General features: G+C 39.1%; 1 protein-coding gene across 9 annotated transcripts in view; it reads left to right on the top strand.

Moving 5' to 3' along the window:
* TMEM182 (transmembrane protein 182) overlaps positions 1 to 16,117 on the top strand; it is a 106,904-nt gene that overhangs the window by 60,086 nt on the left and 30,701 nt on the right. For 7 of the 9 annotated variants that reach the window (XR_427070.3, XM_017003376.2, NM_001321343.2 and 4 more), the window contains one exon: positions 843 to 980. The exons of the other annotated variants lie outside the window; for them this stretch is intronic. Coding sequence is in view for 6 of the 7 variants with exons in the window: in XM_017003376.2 (XP_016858865.1) it covers positions 843 to 980 (138 nt within the window). In the remaining variant the exon portion in view is untranslated. The remainder of the gene's footprint in view (positions 1 to 842; positions 981 to 16,117) is intronic. 9 annotated transcript variants of the gene reach the window in all.

The raw sequence follows: 16,117 nt of genomic DNA on the forward strand, positions 1-16,117 counted from the left end.
GGTTAAGATTGGTAATTATCCAACTCAAAAATGATCGTTAGAATTCCTTTTTGTTTGATTACCATATATCACCAAACCTACTATTTCTTACCAGCTGTTTCCATTAATTTAGCCTTGCTTGTCCTTGACTCCTATAGACTCCTATACTTCTCATTTTGAATCTAAGTGAAAATATTAATAGAAAGAGGTAAGCCTTAAATACATCTGATTTAAATTATCAGATTTGCTTGGAAAGCATAGCTAAACGAACTTCTTTTATGGTTTTGCTTGTCATTTTTTATTGCCTTAGACTGTTTTCTATAGAGCCAACAATCTAAATAGAAGTGGATATTTTTGTTGTGGTTAGGGGCTTGGGGTGACTATTATCAGCTCTCAGAGATAATCATGGTACAAATATATCTTAGAAGAAGATGTGAGGTAGTGTTTGTAAATAATGTGAATGCATTTACATGTGTTTGGACATTCGGTATGAAACACTTCTAGGCTACCCAACTGGGTACTTAAATGGGAGAACTCTTTAGAAGCAAGAACCTTAGGTCTTCTTGCTTCTAAAATGGAAAATCGTGATGGAAAAAAGAGCTCCCACAGTATATTAAGCATGTGTGTGGTACAAACATTGAGCAAGAGGAGTTGATTGAAGGTCACCAGCTTGGACATCACTGATTCCAAGGTCATCTGATAAGATCTCCTGTTTGTTCAGACCCATCCCTGGCATTCTATCTAGCAGTGCCATAGCTGAAATTAGAAAAATGAAGATGAAAGCAACTGACTGTGACAATCTGCTGTGTACACAATCTAAGTGTATTTTTCTTTCTTTTCTCTTTTCCTCCTGGGGTCTCCAGTTTACCGTGGTTTCTGGGCAGTCCTGATGCTCCTGGGGGTAGTTGCTGTAGTCATCGCAAGCTTTTTGATCATCTGTGCAGCCCCCTTCGCCAGCCATTTTCTCTACAAAGCTGGGGGAGGCTCATATATTGCTGCAGGTACGTACGGTGCAATGGGTATGACTTTCAGCCACGGTTTTTCTTCATGTCTTTCTATTTTTCATTTCTATATTCAGGCGTCAGCCTTCTAGTAACAGTAACACAATAATATTTGTATACAATACTTCTTGAACACTAACTAATAATATTTGTATACAATACTTCTTGAACACTAACTGTGTGTCGGACACTTTTCAGGGACTTTCCCTTTTCCACATGCTGACACATTTAACCATCATGATAGTCTCTGCTCACTGTAAGGCCATTATTATAAAGAGGAGAACACTGAGGCTTAGAGGAGAAAACTCTGTCACTGACTCACTCCAAGGTGTGTAAGAGACTGTTAACCTCTTACCCTATTAATTTTCTGTCTGTAAATGGGGATCGTAACATAAGTCTCTGTAACATATCAGCATATGATATGGGTAGGCATTTTCTGAGCTCTTCAAAGATAGCCCTGTGATGATATTTATGATAAGCATACACTCATGATTTATCATAGGTACAAAAATATTTTTCTACATCACTCCCATTCATTTTCTTAATTGTTTGTTGATGCCAGGTGTGGTGGCTCACACCTGTAGTCCCAGCACTTTGGGAGGCTAAGGTGGGTGCATCACTTGAAGTCAGGAGTTTGAGAACAGCCTGGCCAACATGGTGAAACCCTGTTTCTACTAAAAATACAAAAAAATTAGCCAGGCGTGGTGGCATGTGCCTGTAATCCCAGCTACTCAGGAGGCTGAGGCAGGAGAATCACTTGAACTCGGGAGGCGGAGGTTGCATTGAGCGAGATTGTGCCACTGCACTTCAGCCTGGATGACAGAGCGAGACTTTGTCTAAAAAAAAAAAATAATTAATTAATTGTGATCCATATGAATTATCTGAATATATTATTTTCTGTGTGAAGCTTGCATTTATTTTAGTTAGGTTTCTAACTAATTTAATTTCTGCTAAAATGATCACACTACAAATAGAAAAGTAATTGAAGAGGTGAGTCTTGTGAATTTTAAGCCCTTTTCATTTAATTAGGCAGTGAAAGCCAGACTATTAACTTGGAAACATAAGCACAGGCTATTATTTGTAAAGATAATTCTAGAAAACTAGCCAAACTTCAGTATGACTGAGACCAAACTGTACATACTATGCTGTATTGTAACATCAAACCAGAGTGACAGAGTGCTCCTAGGTGACACTGTAGTGACAGTTGAAGGAAAGGAACAGAATGGAGAAGGTTACTGTCCTTCTAATCATTGGAAAGATGGCTTGTGATGCTGCCCAGTGTCATTTCATCAGTGCTCAGGTAACACAATACTTTCTGCATAAGATTGTGCTTAATTCTGCAGAGGGAATAAAAATAATAATCAGATCTAGATCCTGTATTTTGTAGGGGCCAAGAGGAACAGAAGGTTCCCTGAAAAATCCACTTGGAAAAGGCAGATTAATTGAAGAAAAGGCATACATATAATTTCATGTGTATACCTGGGAGCTTTCAGATTGAAGACCCAAAAAGATATGGGCAAATTGTCCATTTTTATGCTTAGGTTCAACAAAGGATGGGCAGCTGTGTAGAAATATGATTGGACAAAAAGGGCAGGATCTAATGGTCATAGACTAAGTGGGGAACCCAGCGAGGCCTGTCCGTTTAGCTTCTTCATGGCTTCACTGAGCAGCACGCCTTCCTTCTGGGTGTGGGGCGGGACCCTCTCTGGAATTGGCAAACAAGGTAGGTCCGGTCAATTCCTTTGTCCTTTGTGGCCAATTTTTACACAGAAAGGTGGAGGGAGAGTTAGAGTAATATGTTCAGGTTTCGTGGCTGGCTTTGGGGAAAGGAGTTCTGGTTTCTATGATTCACCTTTGTGGAGAGGGGACCTTTGTGGTTTCTAAGGCCAGCCTCGGGAGAGAACAGGACTGGGAGGCAGGAGGGCAGGAGAAGGTCAGAGAAAAACTTTTGCTCCTGAGGCTGCTGCTGGGGCTTCATTTTGGAGTTTTGTTTCCTGAGCCCCAACAGTTTAAAGAGCTAAAAAAAAAAATCTCACTCTGAGAAGAACCCTGTTAAACCATTCTTTCTTTTGTCTTTTATTTGAACTGTTTTCTTTCACTGGATTTAGCCATTAGAGCTCTTCATTGTAAAAGCCTTTTTTACTGAGATGTAATCAACATACAACCTACCATTTTGATGTGTATAATTCAGCGTAGGGTTTTAGTACATTCACAGAGTTGTGCAAGAATCACCACTATCTGACTTCAGAATATTTTTATTACTCCACAGAGAAACCTTGTTTTCTACTCTCCTTCTCTCCTGACCAGCTCTAAGAAACCTCTAATCTACTTTCTATCTGTATGGGTTTGCCTATTCTGAATATTTCCTATGAATGAAATCACACTATATGTGGACTTTTGTGTCTGGCTTTTTTCACTTAGATCTGATAAATTATCATCCCTCTGCTTGAATTCATAATTCCATAGGACCAAATCCCATATCCTTATATCCCTTAAAACTGAGCATCTTCTTGGCCAAAAAAATTTTTCTCACCCAAACGACACTTTACCCTTTCCCTTTTCAAAGTTCCAGTAAGGGTACACATTTTTCTATGGTCTTCCCAGAAATAACAGTGCTCTGTTTACATGTACAAATATTTGTTTCTTCTTTTTCCTTGCTTTTTTTTTTGTAACCACAGTTTTTCAATAGAGGGAACATGTAATCACCATAGTTTAGTGATAATGTATTATGGGCAGCATGATCGTTTTAAACTCAGAACTGCTTTGATCCTGGTTTTCGTTCTGGTTTTGGACAGTTTGTGTGTGTGTGTGTGTGTGTGTGTGTGTGTGTGTGTGTGTGTGTTTAGTAGCTTTGAAAAAAAATTGTTGGTCTTTTTCCATTTTGCAATTTGTGCAAAAAGCAATATACGTGAAGAGTTATGTTTGGCTGAGAACTGTGTAGGAGGATAAAGCATTTAATGTACTCATATATCCATACACCTGTAACTGGTGGATTTTTTCTTTTTGTTTTTATTGTGATTTTTAATTGACACAATAATTATACATGTCAGATTTTTTTAAATGAACCTTGTGTTGCTTATGGTAAAGGGCCAAGTGTTTCCTTGCTCAGGACTTCATGCAAAAGCCCCGAGAAGTTCTGAGGTGTCCAAGGTGTTCCCATTTTCAAAGCCATGAAACTAGGTGATTCAGAGGACACTTACTTTACATTTGACTTTTATTATAATTTCCTTTGTGGCACTGTTGCAGGAATCAGGAGGACCAGAGAGACCTCAGGGTAAAGCAGGAGGATTTTATGGAGTGCACTCAGACCCAGTGGATTAACATCCTGAGACTGGGCCCAGAACAAAGACAGCTCTTGAACTTTATACACACTTCAAAAAGGGGGTGGGCTAGCTTGAAGCAGGCTTTCAGTGGCATGAAAGCAAAGAAACAGAGGCAGAACAAAGACAGTTAATCAAATTGTGGTAGGTATGTAACTCAGGATTACATATGACCATTGCGGTGCAGCCCAGATGGCTGTTATCTGGGTTTGCTCTAGTGTCTAGCACGGGCTTATCTCATAACCGTTGCTATGGTGCCCAGATGGCTGTAGTTCAGGCCTGCTCAGGCTTCTCATGACCTTCATTGTGCCGCTTAGATAAAACAAAATACTTGAAGTTACTAGTTACAGAGAACAGGAAGCTATAAACTCATACTAAAAAGGGAAAGGAAAATTTGTTTTTCTTCTCCCTTTGCTGAGGGAGTTCTCCAGAGTACATTCCTTTGTGTCCTAGCTTCTTAGATAGTGTTTACAAGGCTTTTCCTGGGTCTGGGCTATGCCTGTTGCTGCCTCTGGGATAAGTCAGCCTAATACAGGGAAGCTTATTTCTTTTTCTACTTAATTTTATTTTTCTTTCTTTAATTTCCACCTCAGCACAACTCTACATTGTTTGTGTATGACCATTTGTTTACCAAGAGCAGGGAGAGCTACCCTGTTGCGTGGGATGGAATGTGACTGGTCACTCGCTCTTGAGGCTTCCATGCCAACCCTGGGCCAGCATATTGAGCTCTGCCCACAACTAGGAGCAGGTGCAGCCTGGGCTCAGGCTTGCGGTGGCTGCTTTATCGATGCCACAAACAGAATTGGACGCTGTCTGTATTTTTGGGCAGATGGTGTTAGGGAAGGGCAGAGCTAAATTTTCTATGACCATTGCTGGGTATGTGCACATAGGAAGACTCTTTGGCATCAGCAGCACTGTGTTTAGACATTCCGTGCATGGCAGAGGGATGCTGATATCAGGCTGTGGGGTAGGAGCGGTGGGGCCCATGGTGTTCCCTTTGCTGGGTCAACAGGCTCAGAGCAAGGCTCAGAAGGCTTGGAAGGTGGATATTGCTTCTCCCTACACTTGGGCAGAGACTTCCTCAGGCAGGCCAGGCCACCTGTTTCCAGGAGAGTCAGTTCTGGGCAAAGTGTAGTCATTGTCAGGACATTGACCCTCAGCCTGTGTTTCAGCAAGTGATCACACAACTCTGCAGGACCTAAACTGCTGCTGTTTGTTTTAACGTGGACTCACAGAGAACTCTTAGATACACAGGGGTTGTCACGCATCTCCTCCTGCCCCGTGGCATTGGATGTGATAGGAAAGACGCAGGAAGTGTTAGGATGGGTAGGCATGGCATTCTAAACATTGGCTTATATGAAGAAAATTACTGTAGAGCTGAATAGTCATAATCCCTGTGCAAAGCAACATCAACACAGCAATTTCTGTATGTCAGCAGGACATCTACGTGTGTGAAATGAGTAAGGATGTGGCCTGGACACTCAGGACACTGGCATTGGGAGATCAGCCATAAAATTTGATATCTTACCAGCACATCAAGCTAGAAACATTTTTCTGCCATAATTGAAGTAGCCTTTTCTTAAATGGCAAACTGGGATGTATGTGGAATTTTGCTGCAGAAAGTAGAAACAGAGTCTTTCTGGGTGGAGGAGACTGCAGAGCTCTGAACCTTGGACTAAGTCCCTTGTTAGACTCACAGGCTGGTGAGACTACCTAGACGTCTTGAGAGTAGAAGGATTCAAGCAGCCCCTATTCCAGGTCCAGGATGTGCTCATGGAAGCAAAGGGTATCTTTGCAGTGTAGCTTAGTCCCTTGAAACACCACAGAGGCCAAGTTGAGTCTTGTTTCCTGCATGTGCCTGCTTGCTCTGCCCCATTCCACGAGCACAGGGTGAGCTCTTTGCCCCAGACAGCTCACAAGTTATTGCCTCTCACCAGGGATATGAGCAGGGCTGATTGGGATGAATTGTGTGAATCCTCTGCCATGTGCGGCAAAATGCCTGAAGCACAGCCGTCTGCAGCTCACCCGTCCTTCCCTGCTCTGGAGGCAGTGCTTTCTGTAAGTGTAGGGATGGAAACACTTAATCTAGTGTAGGAAAGGTTAGTAGATATAAAGGGAATAGGAAGTTCCCATCTCTAGCAGGTTAGACTGACTTAAAAGGAAGTGGGATTTGTGGTTTGGTTTCCTTTTTTGTTTTCAAAAGATCAAAAGAAATGGCAATAGCCCATCAGTAAACCACATTTATTTGCAACTGAGATAAGAGAGATAAGATGGATACATAATACGTAATTCAGGATTTTTTTCTCCTTAATACTAGAAAAAACAGCTCGCAGAAACCAAGCAACATAGTTCAGGTGCTCATTTTCCTTTGGCTGAGGCTGAACATGTTGCTCGCAGAGGCTCCTCATGTTTTCCTCCAGGTAAAGGAGGATGTGGCGGCTGTCAGAGCAGGAGAGTGTGTGGGGCAAGTCAAGAGCAGGACGGCTTAGGAAGAACTGCCGACAGCCTGGAGGCAGGCTGTCTACACTTGCAGGCACACGCAGCCCTGCCGTCCACACCTGCAGGCACACGCAGCCCTGCCGTCCACACCTGCAGGCACATGCAGCTCTGCCGTCTACACCTGCAGGCACACGCAGCCCTGGCATCCACATCTGCATGCACACGCAGCCCTGCTGTCTCTATGTCTATCCTGTGAGAGATCTGGGCTATAAATAGCTGCACACTGTGGACAAGCGCAGGGAACTCCCTGGGAGGGGCTGGCCAAGGTGTGGCTACAGTGGCTTTTCTTTTTTTCTTTTTTTTCCTTCACATTTTAGTTTCTTTTTTTATTATTTTATTTTTTAAAACAATTTTTCCATAGGTTATTGGGGTACTGGTGGTGTTTGGTTACATGAGTAAATTCTTTAGCAGTGATTTGTGAGATTTTGGCACACCCATCACCCAAGCAGTATCCACTGCACTCTATTTGTAGTCTTTTATCCCTTGCCCCCTTCTACCCTTCCCCCCAAGTCCCCAAAGTCCATTGTATCATTCTTATGCCTTTGCGTCCTCATAGCTTAGCTTGCATATATTAGTGAAAACGTACAATGTTTGGTTTTCCATTCCTGAGTTACACCTAGAATAATAGTCTCCAACCTCATCCAGGTTGCTGTGAATGCCTTTAATTCATTCTTTTTAATGGCTGAGTAGTATTCCATTGTATATATGTACCACAGTTTCTTTATCCACTTGTTGGTTGATGGGCATTTGGGTTGGATCCACTACAGTGGTTTTTTAAAAGCTTCTCTGACTTTCCCTGGTATGTGACAAGTAGGCTTGCAGGAGAAAACCAAAAGCATAGCTTCCCAATAGGAAACCGAATATTTTACCTGAGTTCAGACTTAACATATTAAGAGCTCTGGTGTGTGGGAGGTTGGTGGTGGAAAAAAAAAGTAGTTAATATAAACTATTTGTTACTGATATGCCAGTCAGATGCATCTCTTGTACTAGAATTAGTGTCTTCAGTTTTGATGATCAAAAGACCCAGGTGCACTAGATCTGCCTTCTAAACAGCATAGACTAGTTACACTCATATTTCTAAAAGTACCTGCTTTGTAGACTCGCTTTGTGCCTTCCATTGTCACAGTTGGGATTTGTCTAAAAAATCACTGTCATCCAGACACTGATCCTGTTATAATATGGGAACACCTTCCTTCAAATTTTAATGTGGATTTTCCAACGTCCTTGGTCTGACATTTTCCACAAATGTCAAATGCCAGCATTAGTCAGCCTTGCTTAATATTATATAGAAAAGAGATGTGACGGCTTTTATTTACAAAAATATTTTAAATGTGATTACTTTTCTTTCTCTGATTCTTCCTTGCAAGCTTATTTTCCCCGCATTGCTCTTCAGTGGAAATGTGTCTAACTGGTTGTTAGAATCCATTTTAAAATGGGGCACTAATATGGGAGAAAATGAGGAAATCAAATCCCAAAGCCTGCTCCTTGAGTCTGGAACATCTTAGTTGGGTGAAGGCTGTGAGAATGTGAAGAGAGGAATGAGAATGTGAAGAGAGGAGACACAGAGCCATTTCTTTGGAGAGAGCCATTGCTTTCCTGTAAGTGTCCACCCAACCTGACGGACCTTGTTGTCCACCCAACCTCCAACCTTGTTGGAGACATTCTGGTTCACGGTCTAACACCTGCCCAGATAAATCACCATCTCAGGAATACCTTTGGTGGAGCTTTTCTGAACAACCTTAAACTTCAAACTTGAATAAATGCTTCCCCACACTCCTATCGTTCCCTCAAAAAAAAAAAAATGTGCTGTTCTTCTAAGAAGTAAAATGACAGGCCTGGCAAACAAATGTTTTTACTCATATGACATACTATAATGAGGCATCATTAATCTTTATCCTGAAAGACGGTTTTCAGATGTGCAAAGTGAGAAGATTATTTCTCTGAACCGAGTGTGGTGGTGGTGCCTGCAGTCCCAGCTACTCGGGAGGCTGATGCAAGAGGATTGCTTGAGTCCAGGAGTTGGAAGCTGCAGTGAGCTGTGACCGCACCACTGTACTCCAGCCTGGCAGAGCGAGATCCTGTCTCTAAAAAAACAAAAAAAACCCATACTGTCTCTGGTCTGGAATTAGGTTTTGTCACAGTGAAAAGGCAGACTGAATTTCCATAAGCTTTATTCTCCTTTTTCAAAATATGTGTCTCATTACTATCTACTATTTACTCAGTACTAAGGGATTTAATTTCTTTGCAAATATTTCCTTTCATTGAAAACCATCCTATCCCCCAAATAGTCACTTTGCTCAGAACTAACTAGTAGTGAGTGGCCAAAAAATATTGTATTGGTTTTTTCACTAAGTTTTATAATTTTTTTTTTCTGAGCCATTTGTTTTCTTTACATTTTCGTGTATGGAAAGAGAAGCCTAATGTGCTTGACCTAGGCTAACGGTCTGTCCTGAAAAGAATTTTTACTTCCTAGAAGTAAAGGGCTGATGGGCAGGGGAAGGCGGTTGGCTTGACTGGACACTCAAAGAAGAAATTGTCCTCAATACGAACGAGCTTGAGCCTGGATTCACCTTCTGTTCTTGGCAAAACATTTTGTCATGGGACTGTGGGGTGACTGGTGCCACCTCGTGGAGAGTTCCAGAAAGACACTGGGAGATGCATTGGAGGTCATCATTCCCTTACTCCTCTGAAATCTCAGGACTGGAAGACACCACAGCGAGTTTATTCTTTTGCCTCTTGGCCTGTCCTGAAATAGCCCAGTCACATGAGAATCTCTGATGCTTTAGAAGATTTCAGAGAGTAACATTTGCTAACCATTAGCAGGAGCTCGTGCCAAAGCTTAATAATAATAATAATAATAACAAAATTAGCCCATGCTTATTAGTTGTTTGTCATGTTCCAGGCACTGTTTTCAGGACTTTTCCTCTGTTCGGTCCTCATGACTACTTTCTGAGGTAGGCACTTGGATCCTCTCTATTTTACCAATGAAGAAACTGAGACAGAGCAGTACGAAAGTTGCTCAGGGTTACTCAATAAAGTGTAAAGTGTGAAACTTTGAGGCAGGATTTGAACCAGGGCAGTCAGAATCCAGGGGTGTGCCCTCAATCACATCCTACTTCCTGAAACTCAATTCTTGTGAATAAATATTTCCTTGGCATTAGATGAAATTCTCATTTTCAGATTAAACCCCTAATTACTTGTGGAAATAGGTAAACCCCCATGGTCATTCTCTGTTAATGATTGTTACTCAGTAGAGTACAGAGCACTGGGTATGTAGGATGTTTAATGATAAAAATTGTTATGACAATCTAAGAAAGTTATAAATGCTTGAGAAACCCAATCAGCATTTTATATATGTTGTTGACTAAATCAAACTATGAGTCTAGAAAATGAAAGGGAAGAGGGAATTATTGTATTTGGAAAGCAGAATGATGAAGTGTGTGCAGCAATGAGTGTTTGGAAATCAGAAAAGTGTAATCATGATATTGTAACAGCAGAAAGAATTAAGGCTGTGTCAGAAAATTGGAGAAAAAATGGAAAACAAGTCTGAGAAAATGAAGAATGGAGATAAAGAATGTGGACGATTATGCATTAGTTGTTCTGTAATCTGAAGCATAATTTTATGGGAAAACAATAGCATACTAATGTAAAGAAGAGCAAACTAATTTTTCAAAAACACAATTTTAAATCATTTAAAGTAACTTCTAGCTTTTCTCAGAAAGATTGTCTAAATATTTTGATGAATGCAATAATATTTATGAGACTACTTTGAAAGTACATTACAATATTATGACAAATATTACTCTTTAGCAAATGTGGAAGTGGCAAATTTCCCTTTTCCCAGATATAATATGGAGAAAGTTAAGAGTACATGTTGGACTCTGGAATGCACCTGTGATAGCTGGTCACGCTGCACTAATCCTCATATTTCGTCCTTTAGCAAGACATAGAGGACTTCACTGAAGTAGAGAAAGCCCTCAGACACTTCGATTTCTAAGGTTCCTCGTTGTTAAAATTAATACATATGAAAACAAGTTTGCAAATATTGTAGCATTTTTAGTGTTTATATTTAATATATTAACTCTCTATGCTTTTACAATTCATACATAAATGAATGACCCTATATACAACATGATTTGTAGATATCATGCAAAGGCTAATTGGGAGTCTTTTATGAATGCAGGGCTAAAGTCAAATCATCCTAATGGACCCCGACAGCATTCGTAGCATGAGGGAGCATTGAGATTCCATCCTAAGAGGTTAATCAGCTGCCTGTTCTCACACAGCCAGCTTCTTAAGAGTCTAGCTCTTTCTCCTTGGTTGTAATTTTTGACCCCCTAAATTAAAGCCTAGAGATGCTCCTTAAATATTGCAGAGGCAAGTCTTTTTCCAAAGGAGTTCCAGAAATAATGCTATAAGGATGGGTTGTGTTCTAGGTGGCTGAACGATGAAAGCTGAATGAGCCATTCAGCTTTCCAATCTCCTACAATAATTGAGCGCTATGGAATAATTGTTAAAAGTTTTGCTGAGGAATTAATGTTTGAGGAAGACAGTTAAGGCAGTGTTTTATTAAGAACCATGTTCTCAGTTGGATTTAGCAGGGCTGCTTGTGGGTGGGGAAAAGGGAGGAAGCTTCAGCAGGTGCACTTCAGGTGCCTGCCGTAGCATCGATAAGTTCCAGTGCCATTTTATCAGTTTTGCCTAAGATTGTGCTCCATACAAAAATTTCATTACCATATTTTTCTAAAATCATTTGTCTAAGAAAATGTTATCCATTATTTCAAAATTTCATGTATGAGTTAGAACATCACAAAACGGTATATTCCCAGTAGTTTCATTCATAATAGTTAGAACAACCCAAATGTTTATCAGTGGATAAACAGATAAACAAATTTTGATATACTCATACGATGGAATAATGCTCAGCAATAAAAAGGAATGAAGTGTGAACACATCTTGAGAACATGAATGCATTCTCAGGCATTATGTTGAGTAAAAACATTCCCAAACAAAAGACTGTATACTGCTATGATTCCATTTATAATGACGTTCTAAGGACAAAACTGAGCTATAGTGATAGATGCTTTGGGTAGGAGAGTGAAGAGGCATAAAGAACCTCTTTGAGTGATGCATACATTCTATTTTTAATTGGTTGTGGCTACACTGATGTTTACATTTGTCAAAACCCATCAAATCTTACACTTGAAATCTGTACATTTTACTCTATGTAAAGTATATGTAAATTAAAAGAATGAGAAAGAGGAACAATAAACCTGGAATACTTTTGCCCATTAGGAAAACCTTCAGACTATGGCAGTTTAATATCATATCTTCAAACTTTAGGTATGGGCTGATTTAAGAAATGTTTATATGAAGATGTTTTATGTATTTTCTGCAAAAGCCTTTTGTAGGGGTATGGTCAGTCAGGGTATTCAGTGTCCCTGTGCAGATCTGCAGAAGGCATTCCCAGTATCTCCCTTGAAGAATTGCTTCGTTTCTTCTTCAAAAATTACAGTAAATACATAGCTTATCAAATTTCTTTTTTGTTCTTTCTTCTGGACATGTCTGCTCTAAATTCACCGTTTCATGAATGCTGCTATCCTTAGCACACTTACCCAGGCCCCAGATTTTTTCTTTGATTCTATACTTAGCACAAATGTGACCTGCTGCCTTCTAGGCAGCTCCACCTAGAAAAGTAACCTAGTCCCCCACTGCTTCCTGGAAACATTTTCCCTGTTGCAGAATGTTTGGGAATGTTTTCAGCTTAACCTATGAGACTCGTGCTCTCAGGGTTCAGTCTGAGTTATTCCACAGGCTCAACGTTTGACCTTGGTGGACAAATAAGTGACAGCAATCCTCATTTCCATCCTCTGTTGAAAATAGCCACAATGAGGAAGCCGATGCTATCATCCTTAACATTTTATGATGTTTACTTTCTAATTCTATGTAGATGCCCTGCTAAATATTGCACTACCTTTAGAGTGTGTGCAGCCTTTACGTAGAAAAAGGACGATTTTGTTTTCTGATTCTAGTTTACTTTTCACCTTAACTTCATAATGAGTGTTTTGACTGTGCAGTTCTATGGCTTTTCTTATGCCCATGGAAAACTGAAATGAGTTGCCTCTGCATTTGTGTGGAAGCATGACTAAAGGAGGCCATTGAATCATCTCGAATTTATGATTCTTCCCCAAGTAACCTATAACTGCTCATGACTCAAGTTGTGAAAGCCCATTTAAAGGCAGTCGAGTTACATCTAAGAAGTGAAAGATCAAGTCTGTCATTTTTAAATAATCCAAAACACTCTCTTTTTAAAAAAAAATACATGTAAGAGTATATGTGCTTCTAGACAATAATAAAGCAGTTTGATACTTTGCCTAACTTTTTTAGGAAAAAAGTTTTCATTTCTCGGGCTAAATTTTTCTCTTCTATGGATTTGTTTTTAAATCTGGTTCTTACGGTATAGTGAAAAGATCTTTAGAATATGCCTCCATTTTTCACTCTTGTGTTTGTGAAACAGTGAGGATATACAATTTTATGTCTCAGTTTTTGACTTGGTCTTGGGGGAATCTGTTTTGTTTCCATACTGTGATTGTTTCCATAGTGTTATCATCAGCAATTGCATTCCCAATGGCCATTTGTCACTAAATTTTACGTGCCCTTTGTTTCAGAAAGAGAAAACATGCTTTCCAAATTGAATTCACGGCATTTAAAGGGCAAAGTTTTGTAAGAGAACCCATGCAAAATTATACGTTTCAATCATTGTTTCACATACTGCCAATAACAAGAGATCCAACATGTTCTTGGTGTGACTCAATTATCTTTCTGCAGTTTCACTGTGGTCACAAATCTTCATGGATTCGGGGCTGGGTTTTGATTCTGCCTCCAGTGAAATATTTTATATATTTTCTGGACTTCAAAAAATAGGTATTATAAAATTCAATTGGAAATAAATGTGTGCTTTCCAAATGTATGACCAAATTTAAATGTAATTTTATTTTAAAACAATTTACTATCTATATATTGCAGTATTTTCTATTCTTGCTAAAGTCACTGTGGCAAGTAGGTTTGTAACTCATTGTTATTCAAGCCAGTTATTGTTTATGTTTTTAAAAGTCCTGAGATATCAAAATATAGATGTTGTAAATCCTTTTACCTAATCAAAATACAGATGTTGTAAATCCTTTTACCTAAAGACTCCGTTCAAGTTTTTCTAACTATTCCATTAATGTCCTCTATAGCAAAAAAAAAAAAAAAAAAAAAAAATTCTAAATCATGCTTTGTATTTAGTTGTTGCTTGAGTCTCCATTAAACCAGAGTTAAGTCCATTTTTGTGCTTCATAACCTTGACACTTTTGAAAAAAGTACAGGCCTGTGATTTTTGTAGAAAGGTCTTGAATTTGAGTTTGATTTTTTTCTTTAATGATTGAGTTTAGGCTCTGTATTTTTGGCTCTAAGATCATAGCATTGATGCTGTGTGATTCTCACTGCATCCCATCAAGTGATGTGTGATATCAATTTGTCATGTCACTGGTGATGTTAACTTTGATTACTTGAATAAGGCAATATTTGCTGGGTTTCTGTAGTATGAGGTTACTATTTTCTCCGTCAAAATTAATAAGCATTTTATTGGAAGAGATTTTGAACTTATGTAAATATACTCTGTTTCATTCAATTTTATCCACTGGATTTAGCATTCATTTTTATTTCTTCTCCGAATTATTTTTAAGTGATTGTCAAATGGTGATTTCTAATTCTGCCATCCCTCTACACTTATAAGTTAGTGTTCTGTTGTAAGGAAAAGCTTCCCTTTCCCTATTCATTTATTCACTCATTTATTTATATCACTGTGAGTTCCTATTTTATTCAATGGGAAATAATGTACCACTATCATTATTCATTTTGTGATCAGATTGTCTTAGTTTAAGCTATGGGAGGCCCCATCAAGCTGGCTTCCAAAACACCCCTGTCATTCTTTGAACACATCTTTACTTTCTGGGGTAACAAGATTTTCCAGGTTCATCTTGTATTTTATGCCCCAGCCTGGATTCAACAATTTCTTTGAGAATCCCGGTTTCATGGTGTTTAGGCATCAAGATCTGGACACTTGGTATACTCTATGCGACTGGATGTTGGTGTTGCCAGATGCTCTCAAGAAAGAGAGCCACAAAATATATCTAGGTATATATACACATGTGTATTTTAAAACATGCACACACACATTTACTTCTATATTTATTTCTGTATTATCTATCAGTGAAAAACCATGAAGTCACACTGATATATCCAATTCTAATCAAATTCTAATCACTGTAGGGTTTATTTTAGCTTTCCTCCTTTTCAAATTTGTAACTATTTCCTGGCAGTCAGAAACATGGCTCCCATTGGCCATTCACTTATTTGATCAGTCTACCTGAATACAGTGTCCTTCTGTTTCCTCTCTTGACCACATGTCTCATGCAGGCTGCCATGATTAATTCTTGCTTCCATATCCACTAAACCATTGGCCTTTGGTGTAAATTCCTTCTCATTGTCTGTCTCTCTCTCTCTCTCTTTGTCTACACATGTACACACACACACACACACACACACACACACACACACACACACACACTGGTTTACCCCATGGGTGAGATATAAACTGATCTGATACAAATTAAATGGACAGTATCTTCAATTAGTGAACAAGTTAAAGACTATAGTGATAGAAATGACTACTTTTCCTTCTTTTAAATGGAATTTCCCTTCAAATAATGACAATATTTAAATATAAGTTAATTCTTTCCTATTAAAAATCATCTACCTGATTACCTGCAATACATTTTCCTAATACTCAAAGTTCAGTGATGGGTTTTTCAATTTTTGAAAAGATAAATTTAAGGCTACTAGTTTTTCACAAAGGCAATTTCCTTTTTCCATTAAAATATCTGAAAGCACAAGAGAGTCACATGATGCAAGGAAGATAAAAACCATATCAGCAAATAATACAAAGTTTTGCAAGGTGTTTGCATAAGGCAAATGATATTATGCAAATGCCTAAGCCAAACCTTTACATCAACAGGCAACACTGTCTATATATTTGCTGGAAAATGTATTGAAATGCACAGAGTTGCTAGACAACACATGGAATTGCCATATTGTTGTCAAAATCTGAGGTATGGCGTTGTAAGGAGTTTGCTTGCAGGCTGTGGCTTTACTATTTCTCTGTGATTAGTTGTTTCTCAGTGGCTATATTGCTCTACTCTGTGAGCCAATATTTGCATTTATATTACAGACCACGGTGTGAAGGATGTTTCTTATTAGCGAAGCATCTATTTGATT

Source organism: Homo sapiens, chromosome 2 (genome assembly GCF_000001405.40).
Source record: "Homo sapiens chromosome 2, GRCh38.p14 Primary Assembly".
Lineage (NCBI taxonomy): Eukaryota > Metazoa > Chordata > Mammalia > Primates > Hominidae > Homo > Homo sapiens.